Source organism: Homo sapiens, chromosome 6, assembly GCF_000001405.40.
Source record: "Homo sapiens chromosome 6, GRCh38.p14 Primary Assembly".
Lineage (NCBI taxonomy): Eukaryota > Metazoa > Chordata > Mammalia > Primates > Hominidae > Homo > Homo sapiens.
This window is the reverse complement of record NC_000006.12, coordinates 43,035,138-43,053,966: the sequence shown is the minus strand read 5'-3', so window position 1 is coordinate 43,053,966 and position 18,829 is coordinate 43,035,138. Positions and strand designations below refer to the sequence as shown.

The following is an 18,829-nucleotide window of genomic DNA, read 5'->3' as shown; positions in this document are numbered from 1 at the left end:
GAGGAAAGGGCGGCGCAAAGAAGGAGGTGCTGCGTCGCCAAGGTGGCATCCTCGGCTCCGCCCCGGCGCTCTCCCAGGGCCCCTAGCTTTCCGCTGGGTCGGGCGGAAATGAGCCGTGGCTTTTGGCTGGCGGAGCCGCTGGCAGGGACCGGGCCCCACCCTGCCCCAGTGGCTGCCGACTCACGCGGGTGCAGCTCTGTTCCGCGGAGGCACGCCCCCTCCCGTCTCTCCGTCTCGACCCCCTCGCGGGGCCCAGGTGGGGCCCAAGTCGCCGCCAGCGTCTGTGCCGCGTCCCTTGCTCTGTGAAGGACAGGCCTCGCGCCAGGACCCCGGTGGACTTCTGAGGTGGCCAGAGCCCCACCGCGGCCCCTTGCTTCTCCTTCCCTGCCCACTAGCCCATCGAGCCTCGCGCTCACCCAACCTCGGTCCCCATCCTACCGTGCCTCGGGGTTCTAGCTTATGGGGCCTAATCCCCTCTCCCCCACCTTACCGCGCGCCCCTGGCTTCTCCAGTCTCCAACCTCGGTCCCCAAGCCCCTCGCCTACCTGGTCTGTGCACCCTGCCCTGGGTCTCGCGGCGCCCTCACCAGCCCTCTTGTTCCAGTTGCTCCAGTCGGAGGCGCCTCCAACCCACCAGTGCCTCCTCCTAGTCCATCGCGCCTTGCCCTCCCACTCCACCACCAGTTCTCAGGTCTCTTAACTCTGCGATCTCGGGACTCTTAACTTGGGTCTCGCACTCCCATGCTCCAATCCTTAGAGACAGCACCCCTTTTCACACACACTCACGATCTCCCTCCCAAACATACCCCTCTGGGCTTCACATACCCCATAGGTTGCTGCCTGTTCCAAGGCCTTGGGATTCACTTGTAACTCCAAGGCTGCCCTGCCCCCACTAGTCCGCCCACTGTTCCATATCAACCCACTCCAGGCCACAGGGTCTTGGGGACCTTCCTTTTAGCCCCCAAATTTTGTGTTCTTTCACAACAAACACCCCAGTGTTCTCTGCTTAGGCCTGCCCCCACCCAGCGTGCAGCATGCAACTCCTGGGCCTGGCTTTACCCCACCCCGCCTGACAGCTGTTGCCATTTGCTTCCCCACCTCCTGGATATCTTTGATTTTCTGACCTCTCCTTCCTCTAGCTTGTCTGTTCTCTTTTCCTTGTGTGCTCCAGGTGCCAGGATGGTGGGAGAACTCCGCTACAGGGAATTCAGGGTGCCCCTGGGGCCCGGCTTACATGCCTATCCTGATGAGCTGATCCGCCAGCGCGTGGGCCATGATGGGCATCCTGAGTACCAGATCCGTTGGCTCATCCTGCGGCGTGGCGATGAGGGGGACGGGGGCTCTGGCCAAGTGGACTGCAAGGCTGAGCACATCCTGCTGTGGATGTCCAAGGATGAGATCTATGCCAACTGCCACAAGATGCTGGGCGAGGATGGCCAGGTCATCGGGCCCTCCCAGGAGTCTGCAGGGGAGGTTGGGGCCCTGGACAAATCTGTGCTGGAGGAGATGGAAACCGACGTGAAGTCCCTCATTCAGAGAGCCCTTCGGCAGCTGGAGGAGTGTGTGGGCACTATCCCTCCTGCTCCTCTACTTCACACTGTCCACGTGCTCAGCGCCTATGCCAGCATTGAGCCCCTCACTGGAGTATTCAAGGACCCAAGGGTCCTGGACTTGCTCATGCACATGTTGAGTAGTCCTGATTATCAGATTCGCTGGAGTGCAGGCCGGATGATACAAGCCCTGTCCTCCCATGACGCTGGTGAGGGGCAGTGTGGGGAGGAAGGGAAAGCAGGAGAAGGGCTGGGTCGGCTCAGGGACTCACAGGACACTGTGGCAGGAGCCTCTGATCTCATCAGTACGTAAATGATTCTGTTGCCCTTCTCTTAGAGTTGGAAGAAAAGGAGGTGGGCATGGGAGTGAGGGTGGGGGTTATCTGCCAAAAGAGGAAAGACTATCTTCAAGAACCTCATATTAATTAGTTGCTTTTTATGCAAAGGAAGAATTTAGAGTTTAGACTATTGTAGATCGTGTTTATGTGCGTGTGTGTGTGTATGTGTATAAGTTAGCAAATTTTAGCTTTTGAAGCAAATCAGTTCTTTCTCATTGTGTGGTGGCAAAAGGATTGGATTGAAAGAGTAGAGGGTCTAAGATTTCTAGGAAGGGTGAGATTAGGGAGAAGTTACCAACTGGGGTGTGGGTTACAGGGACCCGGACTCAGATCCTTCTGTCACTGAGCCAACAAGAAGCCATTGAGAAACACCTGGATTTTGACAGCCGCTGTGCTCTGCTAGCACTGTTTGCACAGGCCACGCTCTCTGAACACCCCATGTCTTTCGAGGGCATTCAGCTACCACAGGTAACCTTTGGGGGTGTAAGGTGGGGGGAACTTGTGAACAAGATCTAGGGTCCAGGCCTTTGCACCTATCTGCAGAGGATGGTATGGAGAGAGGGGCTTAAACTGGGACAAGGTGGATATAGGCCAAAGGTTGTATCCCACAGGTCCCAGGAAGGGTGCTCTTCTCCCTGGTGAAGCGGTATTTGCATGTCACCTCGCTCCTGGATCAGCTGAACGACAGTGCTGCGGAGCCAGGAGCCCAGAACACCTCTGCTCCTGAGGAGTTGAGTGGGGAGAGGGGTCAACTGGAGCTGGAGTTCAGTATGGCCATGGGCACCCTGATCTCGGAGCTGGTGCAAGCCATGCGCTGGGACCAGGCCTCAGACAGACCAAGGAGCTCAGCACGGTCCCCCGGTTCCATCTTCCAGCCTCAGCTGGCAGATGTGAGCCCAGGGCTCCCCGCTGCCCAGGCTCAGCCCTCCTTCAGGAGGTCAAGACGTTTTCGCCCTCGTTCTGAGTTCGCAAGTGGCAATACCTATGCTTTGTATGTGCGGGACACACTGCAGCCGGGGATGCGAGTGCGGATGCTGGATGATTATGAGGAGATCAGTGCCGGGGATGAGGGCGAGTTTCGGCAGAGCAACAACGGTGTGCCTCCTGTGCAGGTGAGTGGCACATGGTGGTGGGATACTGTTGGGGGTCTATTTGGGGTAGGGCAGAGCTGGGACTTCTATATGGGGGGGCTCCAGCAGGCCACCCAAAGAGAAAGCTTTAGGTAAGATTGGAATGGTGAAAAGAGTCAGTAGTTGAGAGGGGGGCCATTCTGAGAGCTGGGAAAATCTGGGTTTAGGAGGCTGTGAAGTCAAGAAGACTCACACCTGGGAAGAAACTGATATAGCCAGACTCCTCCAAAGGTCAGGGTCAGGGAGATGGAGTGGTGGAGGCCAGAAGGAAGTGTGGGGGCATAAGCCATGAAAGACAGGGTGAGAGGAGAGACAGGCCCATCCCCCAAAGGAGAAGGCATCCTGTGTGTGTGTGTGTGTGTGTGTGTGTGTGTGTGTGTGTGTGTGTGTGTGTGTGTGTATTCTCCATATGCTGCTGTTTTGTTATGTGGAGGTTTTTCTAAAACCTGGCCAGGTGGTCACCCTGAGGGCTATAGTCCTCAGTACTGGGCCACAGCCAGTCATTTGTGAGTCCTCCCTTCCCCTTCCCTCTTTCTTTCCCTATGCTCCAGGTATTTTGGGAGTCAACAGGCCGCACCTATTGGGTGCACTGGCACATGCTGGAGATCTTGGGCTTTGAGGAAGACATTGAGGACATGGTTGAGGCTGATGAGTACCAAGGGGCAGTGGCCAGTAGAGTCCTGGGTAGAGGTGAGCTCAGGGAGGAAGCAAGGGTCAGCTCTGAGCAGAGGAATGGTGGTCCTGCTGAGTTGCTAGTGACATCCTTGTGCCCCTTGGCCCATTTTCACAGCCCTGCCTGCCTGGCGCTGGAGGCCCATGACAGAACTCTATGCTGTGCCTTATGTGCTGCCTGAGGATGAGGACACTGAGGAGTGTGAACACCTGACCCTGGCTGAGTGGTGGGAACTCCTCTTCTTCATCAAGAAGCTGGATGGACCTGACCATCAGGAGGTTCTCCAGATCCTCCAGGAGAACCTAGATGGGGAGGTAGAGCCAGCCTGGAGACACTCAGAGGTTGGAGGGCTCTATTGCAAGGGCTGGACTGTATAGAGCATTTGGAAGGCTCAGGATGAAAAGTGGAGGTCAGAGAGTGGAAGGGGCTGCAGAGGAGGGGTCTGGAATTTTCAGAGGTGGGAGGGTGAGCTGTTTGGGAGGAGCCAGCTGCCAGCTGTGAGAGGATCAGGATGGAGGGTATGTGTGCAGAGAGACCCCCACCCCTACCAAGTGCTCCCTGGGGCCTCTGGGTCGGCAGGGCTGTCTGCAGTGAGAGCTTCTCCTTGATGGCAGATTCTGGATGATGAGATCCTAGCTGAACTGGCCGTGCCCATAGAATTGGCCCAGGACTTGCTGCTGACTCTGCCACAGCGACTCAATGACAGTGCCCTCAGGGACCTGATCAACTGCCATGTCTACAAGAAGTATGGGCCTGAAGCCCTAGCAGGGAACCAAGCCTACCCATCCCTTCTAGAAGCCCAAGAAGATGTCCTCCTGCTAGACGCGCAGGCCCAGGCTAAGGACTCAGAAGATGCAGCCAAAGTGGAAGGTGGGTGCCAGACACAGCAGCTGAGCTGACACACCTTCAGGGCAGTAGCACAGGAGAGATGTCTGTGCTGATTTTTATGCAATCCTTTCTGGAAGTGATGCCACCTTAGAAGCTGCAACTTAGAGAGAAGCAACAAACGGAGAAGCAGGCATTGTGTTCCCTCAAAGAATGAAGGAGGATGTAAAGTTAGAAAATTGCAAGAGAATTTTGAAGACTTAAAAAAGCCCCCACATTTAGCTTTTTCTCTTGTACAGAAACATATTCCATGCTTTGAAATAAAGGGAAGTGCTCTCCTGTTTTCAGATGAAGCTACTTTGCTATTTTAAGAATATAAAGGCCGGGCATGGTGGCTCACGCCTGTAATCCCAGCACTTTGGAAGGCCAAGGCAGGTGGATCATGAGGTCAGGAGATCGAGATCATCCTGCCTAACATGGTGAAACCCCGTCTCTACTAAAACTACAAAAAAAAAAAAATTAGCCGGGCGTGGTGGTGGGCACCTGTAGTCCCAGCTACTGGAGGCTGAGGCAGGAGAATGGCGTGAACCCAGGAGGCGGAGGTTGCAGTGAGCCGAGATCATGCCACTGCACTCCAGCCTGGGTGACAGAGCGAGACTCCGTCTCAAAGAAAAAAAAAAAAAAAGAATATAAAATTTGTCATGAAGCTGTCTTACAATGACATTCAGAGATTAGATCCCCAAACCTAACTTTTAGGGGGATTAAAAAATTTAAAACATTTTTTAGGAGAAATTAGAGAAAAAGATTGAGAGTTATGAATCTATTTCTGAGCCTTCACATTACTAACAATGGCCAACTCCTGTGACTGTCCCCTTCCTGTAGCAAAAGAACCCCCATCTCAGAGTCCCAACACTCCCCTGCAGCGTCTGGTGGAGGGTTATGGTCCAGCTGGGAAAATCCTCCTGGATCTAGAGCAAGCCCTCAGCTCAGAGGGGACCCAGGAGAACAAGGTCAAGCCACTCCTGCTGCAGCTGCAGCGGCAGCCGCAGCCCTTCCTGGCACTGATGCAGAGCCTGGACACTCCGGAGACTAACAGGACCCTGCACCTGACTGTGCTGAGGTGAGAGCATGGTGACAGGTGGGATCTCTGAGGGCAAAGGGGGTCCATGAGGCTGGCTACACATTTCTCTGCCCCCAGAATCCTGAAGCAGCTGGTGGACTTCCCCGAGGCACTGCTGCTCCCCTGGCACGAGGCCGTGGATGCCTGCATGGCCTGCCTGCGGTCCCCAAACACTGATCGAGAGGTACCCCTGCCCTGCTCTGGGGAGAGGCTGGGGGAGAGGATAAAGGCAGCCACTGGCAAGGCACACCTGCTGGGCAAGGCTCTGGAGGGCGTGATAGAGCCTTTGAGCTCTTGGTTTGAGTTTTGCTTTTAAAATTGAATTTTATTTTTTTTAAATAGGTAATACATTCACATGGTTCACAAATCAAAACGCTCTAACAAGGTATACACTGAGAATTCTTGCTCTCACCCAAATCTCTGTTCCCCCAGGGTCCCCCACACACCCCTTACTGGTAACTACTTGTATTAATTTATGTATCTTTCCCGTGTTCCCTTATGCAAATATAAGCAAACCCAAATGTGTGATCTTGCCACTCTCTTTTTTACACAAAAGGATATGGAGATATTATTACATAAAACATTAAGAGCTTCAATAGCTCCATTTTTGGCTGGGCCTGTGGGAGAAAGGGGGATGAAGGAGGCAGAGCGCCCATCACATACCAGAGTCCCCTGCAAGAGCTACAGAGAAGTCCTGGGCACAGAAGGCTTCAGAAGGGCTCAGAGAACTAGGGTCATGGTGACAGTAGGTATTTGCAGTGTGGCTATATTTTTGGCTGTTACCTAGAATTTACTTTCTAAGGCAGGCTCATTGGGTATAATACACACACAAACCCAGTCCCTGTCAGCCCCTTCCCAGCCATCCAGGTGTCTGTGCCTGAACATCTCAAAACACAGCCCTACAACTGGTTTTTGGGACAGTAGGGCCTGGATGAAAGAACCCAGGGATGCTCTCTGCCGTTTTTGCCAACATAATCAGCAGCCTAGAACCCTAGAGTAGCAGGGCATCTTGTGCCCTTTTCCATTTTGGTTTGTCTTTGGTTCTCTAACCACCTGGCTCTTGTGTCTCCCCATCCCTGTCTTTTCACTTCGTCACTCTGCCTTGCTCACTGTAGCACCCCTAGCACCCAGTACACAGAGTACACAGTGGGTACCTGCTACTGCAGGTGCCCTTGTGGCCCTCGCCCTGTCTTCATTCATCTCCTCCCTTATGTCCCCACCCAGGTGCTCCAGGAACTGATTTTCTTCCTGCACCGCCTGACCTCAGTGAGCAGGGACTATGCCGTGGTGCTGAATCAGCTGGGAGCAAGAGACGCTATCTCCAAGGCCCTGGAAAAGCACCTGGGAAAGCTGGAGCTGGCTCAGGAGCTGCGGGACATGGTGTTCAAGTGTGAGAAGCATGCCCACCTCTACCGCAAACTCATCACCAACATCCTGGGAGGCTGCATCCAGGTCAGGAGGAAGGGGAGCTTGTGGGCTTAGAGTGGCATCAGAATATGAAACCCAAGCAGTGGCGGGTAAGGGCTGTGTTCCCATGGCTGGGAACAGCAGGTGACTCTAGTGACCCTGGGGCATTTGTTCCCCTTCCCCTCTGCCCCATCTGGGCCTGCTCTGCTGGTGCTGTAGAGGAAGTCCCACTGCTGCATGGTCTCTCCTTCATCCGTGTTTCCGTGTGTGTCTCCGTGTTCCTTCTGCCCCTGTGCCCCTTCTCTCTGATGTTCTGGCTGCAGATGGTGCTGGGCCAGATCGAAGACCACAGACGAACCCACCAACCCATCAACATCCCTTTCTTTGATGTGTTCCTCAGATACCTGTGCCAGGGTTCGTGCCTGTTGCCGTGTTGCTCCACCTCCCCACACCTATGTCTGTTTCCCCTCTACACCCTACCTGACCGTGACCACCACCCCTTCCCACTTGCCCCCAGGCTCCAGTGTGGAAGTGAAGGAGGACAAGTGCTGGGAGAAGGTGGAGGTGTCCTCCAACCCGCACCGGGCCAGCAAGCTGACGGACCACAACCCCAAGACCTATTGGGAGTCCAACGGCAGCGCCGGCTCCCACTACATCACCCTGCACATGCGCCGGGGCATCCTCATCAGGTAACTCTCCCACACATGTGCTTTGCCACACACGTGTGCTTTCCTGTGACGCCCCTGTGTTTGTTTTGGGGGAAGCACCACCCCCTGGACTTGGCCATGGGCCCTGTCTACAAGTTCCAAATGGTTTTTCCTCCCCACTCCCAGGCAACTGACTCTGCTTGTGGCTAGTGAGGACTCGAGTTACATGCCGGCCCGAGTGGTGGTGTGCGGGGGTGATAGCACTAGCTCTCTTCACACGGAACTCAACTCGGTAGGACCCCAGGGCCATTAGCCATTACTCCACCCCTCACAGGATCTGCCCTCCTGCTTCTATCTGGCCCTATCCTACTTTTTTCTAACTCCCACCTGTCTTGAGCCCCACAGAAAGTAGTGTCCTTTATCCCTGTGCTTGTGCCACCAGGCCCTGAACAATGAGGGTGGCATGAGGACAGCTTTGTCAGGACCCTACACATCCCAGGGCTGGGGAAGGGAGGGAAACAGTGAGGGGACTGGAGCCTAGAGCCAACTTGGCTCTGCATGTGTGGAGGTGACAGCTTTCTCTGCCCCCTGCCAGGTGAATGTGATGCCCTCTGCCAGCCGGGTGATCCTCCTGGAGAACCTGACCCGCTTCTGGCCCATCATCCAGATCCGCATAAAGCGCTGCCAGCAGGTGGGGCCAGGGATGTGGGGTGTGGCCCTGGGTAGGGGGCTCTGAGCCCCATAAACAGGCAGATCTTAAGCCAGAGGACCAGCCTGGGTCTCGAGCAGCTCCAGGGGTGAGGTTCGAGGGCGTAGCTGACCCCAGCCCATCCCAAGGTGTGGAGCGAGTGAAGATAGTCCTGTGTGTGTTTCAGGGTGGCATTGATACGCGCATTCGGGGGTTAGAGATCCTAGGCCCCAAGCCCACGTTCTGGCCAGTGTTCCGGGAGCAGCTCTGTCGTCACACACGCCTCTTCTACATGGTTCGGGCACAGGCCTGGAGCCAGGACATGGCAGAGGACCGCAGGAGCCTCCTGCACCTGAGTTCTAGGTGTGTGAGAGTGTGCGTGTATGCTTGTGTCTGTGGGAAAGGTAAGGCTATTGCAAATAGCTGGCAGGCAGGGGTCCATAGAAGCTGTGAGATGGAGGTTTAATATGCGTGGGGAGGGGGCTGGAGTTTTCTGAGCTGTGGGAGGGGAAGAAAGGATAAAGAGAAAAGATTTCTCCAGTGGGCTGGGAATGGGATATACCAGTTAGCACAGAGCAGTTCTGAAGTACCAGGGGGCCTTCGGTTTGGGTGCTGGGGTTAGCTGGCAGTCTTAGGAAGGGTGGACACTGAGATAACATATGCTTCAAGCCCCTGACACCTTCCTCCTCCATTCTCACCCCCAGACTCAACGGTGCTCTGCGCCAGGAGCAGAATTTTGCTGACCGCTTCCTCCCTGATGACGAGGCTGCCCAAGCTCTGGGCAAGACCTGCTGGGAGGCCCTGGTCAGCCCCGTGGTGCAGAACATCACCTCCCCTGGTAACCATCCTGACATCTGGACCCATTACTATCTCAGGGCTTGGTTCCACTAATTAGTTCCTTCTTGCTCTACCCTAGAACCACCTGGATTATGTCCTGGCCCTTTTGGCACCTGCATTTGTAATCCCAGTGCTGTCTTCTCACAGCCCAGGGGCTGCCCCCTTTCCCATGTCTCTCAAGTGTCAGGGGACACCATAAGTGCTGGAGGTGCCTTGTTACCCACTCCCTTTATCATTCTTCTTTTTTTTTTTTTTGAGACAGATTTTCGCTCGTTACCCACGCTGGAGTGCAATGGCATGATCTTGGCTCACTGCAACCTCTGCCTCCCAGGTTCAGGCAATTCTCCTGCCTCAGCCTCCCAAGTAGCTGGGATTACAGGCATGCACCACCATGCCTGGCTAATTTTATTTTATTTTATTTTATTTTTTTGAGACAGAGTTTCGCTCTTGTTGCCTAGACTGGAGTGCAATGGCGCAGTCTCGGCTCACTGCAACCTCTGCCTCCAGGGTTCAAGTGATTCTTCTGCCTCACCCTCCCAAATAGCTGGGATTACAGGCATGGGCCACCATGCCCAGCTAATTTTGTATTTTTAGTAGAGATGGGGTTTCTCCATGTTGGTCAGGCTGGTCTCGAACTCCCAATCTCAGGTGATCCACCCGCCTCAGTCTCCCAAAGTGCTGGGATTACAGGCATGAGCCACCGCGCCTGACCCACACCTGGCTAATTTTATATTTTTAGTAGAGGTGGGGTTTCTCCGTGTTGGTCAGGCTGATCTCGAACTCCCGACCTCAGGTGATCCACCCACCTCAGCCTCCCAAAGTGCTGGGATTACAGGCATGAGCCACCGCACCTGGCCTTTTCTATTTTTTTATGCTTATTTCTTATTTTTAAAGATGGGGTCCTGCTATGTTGACCAGGCCAGTCTTGAACTCCTGCCTCAAGCGATCCTCTCATCTCAGCCTCCCAAAGTGCTGGGATTACAGGCGTAAACCACCCTACCTGGCCCCCCTTCCTTGTATCATTCCGTCCAGTTGCTCTATCTCCACACTCCTGTTCAGCCCAACCACTCCCACTTCCCTGCAGACATGGCTGTGCCTTGGTTTGTTTATCTCACCCTCTAGATGAGGATGGCATTAGCCCCCTGGGTTGGCTGCTGGACCAGTACCTGGAGTGTCAGGAAGCTGTCTTCAACCCCCAGAGCCGCGGCCCAGCTTTCTTCTCGCGGGTGCGCCGTCTCACTCACCTGCTGGTGCATGTCGAGCCCTGTGAGGCACCCCCTCCTGTGGTGGCCACTCCTCGGCCCAGTGAGTAGTGGAGATTCAGGTGGGGAGCTCTAGTCAGGAGCGTTTTCCTGGGCCCCATGTGTACACCACAGGCTTCTGTCCATCCCCATCCTTCCCCTCCCTATGGGCTCAGCCTGTTCATCTTCCAGGTTTGTGTCACCTCCATCCATGAACATCATTTTGGGTGGCAGCATGTCAGGAAAGGCCTCAGGGAACCCCCTTGGATGGGGACTTGGGAGTGGAGGGGCTGCACCCTCCTTGCCTCTGCCACTTTCTTGGTCTCTACAGAAGGCAGAAACAGAAGCCACGACTGGAGCTCCTTGGCTACCCGGGGCCTTCCAAGCAGCATCATGAGAAACCTGACGCGCTGTTGGCGGGCCGTGGTGGAGAAGCAGGTGGGCAGGAGCAGGCCTGCGGGAGAGAGGGGACACCATAATGGTGGCATGTTGGGTTGTGTCTTCATGCTCCTGCCCCTTCCTTCCAGGTGAACAATTTTCTGACCTCATCCTGGCGGGATGATGACTTTGTGCCACGCTACTGTGAGCACTTTAATATTCTGCAGAACTCAAGCTCTGAACTGTTTGGGCCTCGGGCAGCCTTCTTGCTGGCGCTGCAAAATGGCTGTGCGGGAGCCTTGCTGAAGCTCCCTTTTCTCAAAGCTGCCCACGTAAGCCTCTACCCTTGCCTCATCCTTGGGTCTCTTCCGACAAACTCTCCCTTCCTCACCTCCTCCAAATGACCCACCCTTCCATTCCCATTCTATGATGAACATATGTTAGTATATAGCCATGTTATAAGAAGTTTAAAAAATTGAAAAAAATAAATAGTGGCCAGGTGTGGTGGCTCATGCCTGTAATCCCAGCACTTTGGGAGGCCGAGGCAGGCAGATCATCTGAGGGCAGGAGTTTGAGGCCAGCCTGGCCAACATGGCCAAACCCCATCTCTACTAAAAATACAAAAATTAGCCAGGCATGGTGGCACATGCCTGTATTCCCAGCTACTTGGGAGGCTGAGGCAGGAGAATCGTTTGAACCCAGGAAGTGGAGGTTGCAGTTGCAGTCAGCCGAGATTGCACCACTGCACTCCAGCCTGCGTGACAGAGCTAGACTCATCTCAAAAAAAAGAAAAAAACAAAAAAACCCCCCACAATTGATGAGCTAAAATGCAAGAAGCACCCTGGAAAGCAGGGTACAGAGCAGCAGGAACATGAGGCTCCTTGTGTAGCCTCCAGTCCTAGTTTATCAGTGACACTGCATCAGGACCATCTTTGTGTATGTAACTTACCTCCTTGTGTCCGTCTTTCTTTCTCTCTCTCTTTCTCCCTTCCTGCCTTCCTTCCTTCCTTCCTTCCCTCCTTCCCTCCTTCCCTCCCTCCTTCTCTCCCTCCCTCCCTCCTTCTCTTTCTCTCTTTCTCTTTCTTTCCTTCTCTCTTTCTTTCTTCTTCCTTTTTTTTTTTTTTTTTTTTGAGACGGAGTCTCGCTCTGTTGCCCAGGCTGGAGTGCAGTGGCTCGATCTCAGCTCACCACAACCTCCGCCTCCCAGGTTCAAGCGATTCTCCTGCCTCAACCTCCCAAGTAGCTGGGATTACAGGTGCATGCTACCACGCCCAGCCAATTTTTGTATTTTTAGTAGAGACGGAGTTTCACCACATTGGTCAGGCTGGTCTCGAACTCCTGACCTCGTGATCCGCCCGCCTCACCCTCCCAAAGTGTTGGGATTACAGGCATGAGCCACCTCTCCCTTCCCTTCCCTTTCCCTTCCCTTCCCCTTCCCTTCCCTTCCCCTTCCTTTCCCTTCCCTTCCCTCCCCTCTTTTCCTCTCCTTTCTTTTTCTTTCTCTCCCTTTCTTTCTCTTTCTTTACTTCTTTCTTAACAGGGTCTTACTCCCTCCCACACTGGGATGCAGTGGTGCAGTCACAGCTCACTGCGGCCTCAACCTCTTGGGCTCAGGTGGTCCTCTCAGCCTTCTGGGTAGCTGGGACCATAGGCGTGTGCCACCATGCCCAGCTAATTTTTTCGTATTTTTAGTAGAGATGGGGTTTTGCCATGTTGCCCAGGCTGGTCTCCAACTCCTGGGTTCAAGCCATCTGCCTGTCTCAGCCTCCCAAAGTGCTGGAATTACAGGCGTGAACTGCGCCTGGTCTTATTTTCTCATTTTGAATGATTATTATTAGTTTGATTTTTTAGACACAATGTGAAAAGACACTTTCCATAATTGTTAATATTGCTAATTTGTACAATGGTTAATGATCTTATAAAATAGTTGTATGAAAGCACCAACCACCTTAGAAAGCTGCCAGCATTCATATCTACTTTCCAGACCCTCATCCCTCCTCCCCACTCACCTGCTCTGCTCGCTCATTCATGGCTTTCCTGTGCTCTGCCATTGCTCAGGTGAGTGAGCAGTTCGCCCGGCACATTGACCAGCAGATCCAGGGCAGCCGGATCGGTGGAGCCCAGGAAATGGAGAGGCTGGCACAGCTGCAGCAATGCCTGCAAGCTGTCCTGATTTTCTCCGGCTTGGAGATAGCCACCACTTTTGAGCATTATTACCAGTGAGTGTGGACCTAAGGAGCGGGAGCTGGCGGGAGGCAGGATGATGGTGGCAGAGCCAGCTCATGGGCCTGGAAGTCTGGGATAGAGGCAGGCTGGAGCCTTGGAGTGGGAGGCTGGGCCACACTGGTGCCCACACTGAGGCTTGGCCCGGGCTGCATGCACTGCAGGCACTACATGGCGGACCGTCTCCTGGGCGTGGTCTCGAGCTGGCTGGAGGGGGCCGTGCTGGAGCAGATCGGTCCCTGCTTCCCCAACCGCCTCCCCCAGCAGATGTTGCAGAGCCTGAGCACCTCTAAGGAGCTGCAGCGCCAGTTCCACGTCTACCAGCTCCAGCAGCTGGATCAGGAACTCCTGAAGCTGGAGGATACAGAGAAGAAAATACAGGTGAGTGCCTTGGAAGGGATAAGCAAATAAGAGGGTAGGGGGAAGAGGGGCGTGGAGCAGACTGGAGGAGGCCATGGCATCTGGGAACCCTGTGCTCCTTCAGGTGGGCCTTGGGGCCAGTGGCAAGGAGCACAAGAGCGAGAAGGAAGAGGAAGCTGGGGCAGCAGCAGTGGTGGATGTGGCGGAGGGAGAGGAGGAAGAGGAGGAGAATGAGGACCTCTACTATGAAGGGGCAATGCCAGAAGTGTCTGTGCTTGTCCTGTCCCGACACTCCTGGCCTGTTGCCTCAATCTGCCACACACTGAACCCCAGAACCTGCCTGCCCTCCTACCTGAGGGGCACTTTGAACAGATACTCCAACTTCTACAACAAGAGTGAGCAGCCAGGCAGAGGGACTGGGGACTGGGGAGAGGGTGGGCTGCTAGGAAAGGACCTGGGGTTGGGGGCAGACCCTGATGTTGGGAGGCTTGATGTAAAAAGAGATAGTCTTTGGCTGGGCACAGTGCTCACGCCTGTAATCCCAGCACTTTGGGAGGCCGAGGCAGGCAGATCACTTGAGGTCAGGAGTTCAAGACCAGCCTTGGCCAACATGGTGAAACCTCGTCTCTGCTAAAAATACAGAAATTAGCCGGGTGTGGTGGTGTGTGCCTGTAGTCCCAGCTACTCGGGAGGCTGAGGCAGGAGAATCACTTCAACCCACAGGCAGATGTTGCAGTGAGCCGAGATCGTGCCACTGCACTCTAGCCTGGGCGACAGCGAGACTCCATCTCAAAAAAAAAAAAAAAAAAAAAAAAGAGTTGGTCTTTTAATTTACATTTTTAATTTTTGTTTTTATAGATTCAGGGAGAGATAGTCTTTAGGGATAAGAATTCCCTAGGCCATGGGAAAAACAGTGGTTTTGAGAACAAAGGGCAGGAGCTTGGTGGCTGGGGGTGGCAGGTGCTGTCAGATACCTGATCCCCAGACCATTGCTTTTTCTGTTCTAAAATAAGACCTGGGAATCTCTTTGTGGGTGACGGGGAGGATGGAGGCAGGAGGCACCTGAGGCCACCAGATATGAGTAGGTGTCTGGCTCTTTTCTGGTCAGTCACCTGTCATCCTAAACTCCCCATCGGGGGCTGATCCCTGAGCTGGCAGCAACACAGGAGGGGGAAGAGGCTCAGACCTGTGGTCAGGGCGCCTCCTAATAGGGGAGACATTGTTTCCTGTCATAATATTCCAGCTTGATAAGAGCCCCAGTCCTTCCTCCCTTCATGGTTTTGTCTCCCTAAAAACACATGGGGCAATCCTCGAAGGCACTGATGAGAACCTGCTTGGCACCAGGCTAGGCATAGGATAGCTCCCAGATCCTGAGGCTTGCCATAGAGGCAGGCCCAGAGAAGGCTGAGATCTGGAAGCTCAGACCAGAAGCCCCAGTGTCCATAAATGCTGGGGTCACACGCCTTGCAGAGATAAACAGAGCGTGACCAGCGTGCACCCTCCCTCCAACACCAACTCCCTCCTTTCACCTGCTCTTTGTCTCCCTCCCCCTTCCTGGTCCAGGTCAGAGCCACCCTGCCCTTGAGCGAGGCTCACAGAGGCGACTGCAGTGGACGTGGCTGGGCTGGGCTGAGCTGCAGTTTGGGAACCAGACCCTGCATGTGTCCACCGTGCAGATGTGGCTACTGCTGTATCTCAACGACCTGAAGGTGGCCCAGCCCCGCTGCACCTCTCTCCTGTCTCCCACTTTGTCCCTTGCCTCTCTTCCCAAAACCTTGACTCCCTCTGCTTCTTCCCTCCATCCTCTTCTCTCCACTCCTTGGGGAGGCCCTGAATGTCTCCCATCTGTTCTCTGAAGGCGGTCTCTGTGGAGAGTCTGCTGGCGTTCTCAGGGCTCTCCGCAGACATGCTCAATCAGGCGATTGGGCCCCTCACCTCTTCAAGAGGCCCCCTGGACCTTCACGAGCAAAAGGATATACCAGGAGGTATGCACTTAGGGCCAGAGGGGCCTCTGCTCTGAGGCAGGGCCAGGCTCCTCGTGGGCTCTCCACTGAGTGAGTGATCAGCATTTATTTCAGGGGTCCTCAAGATTCGAGATGGCAGCAAGGAACCCAGGTCGAGATGGGACATTGTGCGGCTCATCCCACCTCAGACGTACCTGCAAGCTGAGGGTGAAGACGGCCAGAACTTGGAGAAGAGACGGAATCTTCTGAACTGCCTCATCGTCCGAATCCTCAAGGCCCATGGAGATGAGGGGCTGCACATTGACCAGCTTGTCTGTCTGGTAGGCAGGGGTGGGCACAATGGGTGACAGATCTTTGCTGGGGTTGGGGGAGCAGTCTACAGGACAAGGTGGGTGCACGTGTGGTGAGGCACCTGGTTCACTGTGTAGCCTGTAGGAGTGTGAGGAGTGAGGTCGGGATGTACCTCGTGTCCTTGGGGCATCCTGTCCTAGCAGCTGGTGGTTGGAGTGGAAGCTCAAGCAAGGAGGGGTCAGCTGCCTCTAAACTACCGCTTCTCCCTTCCTCCCCCACACCAGGTGCTGGAGGCTTGGCAGAAGGGCCCGTGTCCTCCCAGGGGTTTGGTCAGCAGCCTTGGTAAGGGGTCTGCATGCAGCAGCACTGACGTCCTCTCCTGCATCCTACACCTCCTGGGCAAGGGCACGCTGAGACGCCATGACGACCGGCCCCAGGTGCTGTCCTATGCAGTCCCTGTGACTGTCATGGAGCCTCACACTGAGTCCCTGAACCCAGGCTCCTCAGGCCCCAACCCACCCCTCACCTTCCATACCCTACAGATTCGCTCCCGGGGTGTGCCCTATGCCTCCTGCACTGCCACCCAGAGCTTCTCTACCTTCCGGTAGCCCTAGACTTGGGGTCAGGGGAAGGTAGAGCTGGAGCTTTTACAGAAATAAAACCCAAGAGTTTGATTATATGACGTGTGTGTTTGGCGACTGCTAGAGATTTGAGTGGGGAGGTGGGAGGGTTTTCCTTGCTGGTGGAGAAGGAGCCCTTGGCACTGAGGCTGTCGCATGATATGCCAAGGGTCTTGTTAGGGTGAGGATGGTAGACTGGGAGAAAGGCAGAGGGAGTCAGGTGTGACTTAGCACCCCCTCTAGGCAGAGATTGAGAGGACCAGGCAGGATGATGGCACTCAGCCCCTTCTCAGAGGGTGTGTGGTCAGAAGTGCTTTCATCTGGCAGGCTGGAGATCCAAGCCCAACTTGGCCACTCACCAGATGGTTTGTAACTTGGGCAGATTATCGAGCAGGGTTTAATTCTCCTCGTTTGTGGAACTGGCCCAGTCACTGTGGGACTGCGACAAGTAACAGGTATGGAAGCATTTGACGTGGTGAATGAAGGCATTGCCAGTGAGTCTCTATTTTGGCCACCATTGCCAACAGTGAATGTGGTTCCTTGGTGCCTTCCCTAAGTAAGACTGACATGATGAAGGTGAGGTCACTGACCCCTGTGGCCACTGCAGGCACCCAGCAACCTGAATGTGTATTCCATCTGATGGCATAGGCCCAGAAAGAACTGTTCTAGCACAGTTCTTACTCCCACAAGCTCCTCCGTTTTGCCCCTTTCTTCCCCTCCTCTGCCTCCACCCCTTCTCTGTCCTTGCAGAGCTGCACACGCTGTCATCAAACTCCTACCCCTTGATTCTCAAAACGAGGGATTTGGAAGAACAAGAAAAAAAAAAAGAAAGAAAGAAAAACTCCTACCCCTGCGGGCACGGCGCTATATGCACCTTTAGTCCCAGCTACTCGGGAAGCTGAGGTAGGAGGATCGCTTGAGCCCAGGAGTTCTGGGCTGCAGTGTGCTCTGCCATTCGGGTATCTGCACCAAGTTCAGCAACAATATGGTGAACTCCCAGGAGCAGGGGATCCCAGGTTGCCTAAGAAGGGGTGAACTGGCGGCTGGGCGTGGTGGCTCACGTCTGTAATCCCAGCACTTTGGGAGGTTGAGGTGGGCGGATCACGAGGTCAAGAGATTGAGACCATCCTGGCCAACATGGTGAAACCCCATCTCTACTAAAAATACAAAAATTAGCCGGGTGTGGTGGTGCACGCCTGTAGTCCCAGCTACTTGGGAGGCTGAGGCAGGAGAATTGTTTGAACCCGGCAGGCGGAGGTTGCAGTGAGCCGAGATCTCTCCGCTGCACTCCAGCCTGGCAACAGAGCAAGACTCCGTCTCAAAAATAAATAAATAAATAAATAAATAAATAAATAAATGAGTGAACTGGCCCAGGTCAGAAAGAGAGCAGCTCAAAACTCCCATGCTGATTGATCAGTAGTGGGATCGTGCCTGTGAATATCCACTGCACTCCTGCCTAGGTGACATAGACCCTCTCTCTATTTCAGAAAGGCAAAAACTCCTACCCCTAACTACCCCCATAGGTGAGCCTCTGCCCTGCTGCTGTTGGGGAGGTTTGCTTGTGCTACTATAATTGGCTCCATTGGCACCACCCCTGCTGAAGCAGGGCAGCTCAGGTCAGGCCAGGGGATCCTGTGCCAAAGGTGCAGCTCTGTGTCTTGGCAGGGCTACTGGGGAGGAGGAAAGGAGGGATGACCCAGGCATCCCGAGGCTCGTAGCCCAGAGGTGACAGAAAAAGCTATGGAAGGAGGGGGAAGGGGGATGAGGAAGAGTCAGGTGGTAAAGGAGGGCACAGAAGCCAGACAGAGAGAACTGAGTGCCACCAGGACTGAGATTTGGAGTCTAGGGGAAAAAAGGCCATGGCTTGTGGGAGAGTCAGGCTGCTCAGGATGAGGCTATAATACAGAGGGCAGAGGGGCTCCGTAGTGCTTGCTTTGCAGTGTTGGTCCCATGGTGTCGGTAGCTCTCACAGCAGGGGCCAGCCTGCTGAGTGACAGCTGCCCTTTGGGGCAGAGTCCAGACAGGCAGCAGCAGCAGGCTGGGGGCCCAGCACAGTGGGCCCAGGTACACTGGGGTTGCTGCAGCTGGTCACTTAGTGCCTCTTCACCTTGGTACCAGAGATTATAGGCTTTTATTGGCCCAGGCCCAATATTCTTGTGCTCACTCTCAAGTGCCAGAGCTTTCTGCCCTTCTCTGGACTTTCTTGCTTTTTATAAGATTATCCTTCTCCACCAGAAACTCAAAGAAGCTTCCTGCTGTGGGGTCCAGTAGTCAGGCCAGCATGAAGTGCATATAGGGTCAGACGATAGGATTTACTTGCACTACAGCCCCGTTCTGCTACTGTCCCGAGGCCTCCTCCATGGGCTGAGCTGTAGGCTATGCCTTGAACTTACTGCCCTCATCAGCCCCTGGGCATCCTACTCAGTCACCTTGCCAGTCTCCCATGGGGTACCTTCCTGCTCATCTGCGATGGAAAAAGTCTCCAGCAATAATTTTTTTTTGTTTTTTTTTTTAGACAGAGTCTTGCTCTGTCACCCA

The 18,829-nt window shown here is 54.5% G+C and overlaps 1 protein-coding gene, 1 long non-coding RNA gene and 1 pseudogene across 15 annotated transcripts, besides 5 other annotated features; 2 read left to right on the top strand and 1 right to left on the bottom strand.

Moving 5' to 3' along the window:
• Positions 8-377: a silencer, noted in NCBI's record as "silent region_17217". NCBI's record gives its function as "represses an Ori minimal core promoter by ATAC-STARR-seq in GM12878 lymphoblastoid cells {active_cell/tissue: GM12878}" and the evidence as "EXISTENCE:reporter gene assay evidence [ECO:0000049][PMID:35858748]".
• On the top strand, positions 116-16,350 carry CUL7 (cullin 7). 14 transcript variants are annotated; one of them, XM_005249503.4, is made up of 26 exons: positions 116-256; positions 1,171-1,758; positions 2,204-2,355; positions 2,499-2,999; positions 3,569-3,707; positions 3,808-4,004; positions 4,305-4,560; positions 5,398-5,635; positions 5,714-5,819; positions 6,860-7,087; positions 7,366-7,456; positions 7,560-7,731; positions 7,876-7,981; positions 8,285-8,380; positions 8,565-8,740; positions 9,082-9,215; positions 10,337-10,519; positions 10,787-10,893; positions 10,983-11,165; positions 12,892-13,052; positions 13,221-13,437; positions 13,541-13,811; positions 14,980-15,125; positions 15,275-15,401; positions 15,495-15,700; positions 15,956-16,350. In XM_005249503.4, exons 2-26 carry the CDS (start codon positions 1,179-1,181, stop codon positions 16,277-16,279), a joined length of 5,097 nt encoding a protein of 1,698 aa, XP_005249560.2. In that variant the 5' UTR covers positions 116-256; positions 1,171-1,178; the 3' UTR covers positions 16,280-16,350. The 14 variants fall into 14 exon arrangements, with proteins under 14 accessions (XP_005249560.2, XP_011513322.2, XP_047275556.1 ...); XM_011515020.3 differs by having other exon boundaries at positions 15,483-15,700; XM_047419600.1 differs by having other exon boundaries at positions 3,808-4,031.
• Positions 937-1,772: an enhancer, noted in NCBI's record as "H3K27ac-H3K4me1 hESC enhancer chr6:43019933-43020768 (GRCh37/hg19 assembly coordinates)". NCBI's record gives its function as "activates a minimal SCP1, AML or CMV promoter by ChIP-STARR-seq in primed H9 embryonic stem cells {active_cell/tissue: H9 hESC(primed)}" and the evidence as "EXISTENCE:reporter gene assay evidence [ECO:0000049][PMID:30033119]".
• Positions 2,322-2,822: an enhancer, noted in NCBI's record as "H3K4me1 hESC enhancer chr6:43018883-43019383 (GRCh37/hg19 assembly coordinates)". NCBI's record gives its function as "activates a minimal SCP1, AML or CMV promoter by ChIP-STARR-seq in naive H9 embryonic stem cells {active_cell/tissue: H9 hESC(naive)}" and the evidence as "EXISTENCE:reporter gene assay evidence [ECO:0000049][PMID:30033119]".
• Positions 2,823-3,323: an enhancer, noted in NCBI's record as "H3K4me1 hESC enhancer chr6:43018382-43018882 (GRCh37/hg19 assembly coordinates)". NCBI's record gives its function as "activates a minimal SCP1, AML or CMV promoter by ChIP-STARR-seq in naive H9 embryonic stem cells {active_cell/tissue: H9 hESC(naive)}" and the evidence as "EXISTENCE:reporter gene assay evidence [ECO:0000049][PMID:30033119]".
• Positions 7,955-8,146: a silencer, noted in NCBI's record as "fragment chr6:43013559-43013750 (GRCh37/hg19 assembly coordinates)". NCBI's record gives its function as "represses an EF-1alpha promoter that drives an FKBP-Casp9 reporter gene in an ReSE screen in K562 erythroleukemia cells {active_cell/tissue: K562}" and the evidence as "EXISTENCE:reporter gene assay evidence [ECO:0000049][PMID:32094911]".
• On the bottom strand, positions 8,821-12,931 carry LOC124901318 (uncharacterized). Its single transcript, XR_007059581.1, has 2 exons — positions 12,843-12,931; positions 8,821-10,909 (listed from the first exon to the last, which is right to left on the bottom strand). It is a non-coding gene; the product is annotated as an uncharacterized LOC124901318 (long non-coding RNA).
• Positions 17,467-17,771, top strand: RN7SL403P (RNA, 7SL, cytoplasmic 403, pseudogene; annotated as a pseudogene).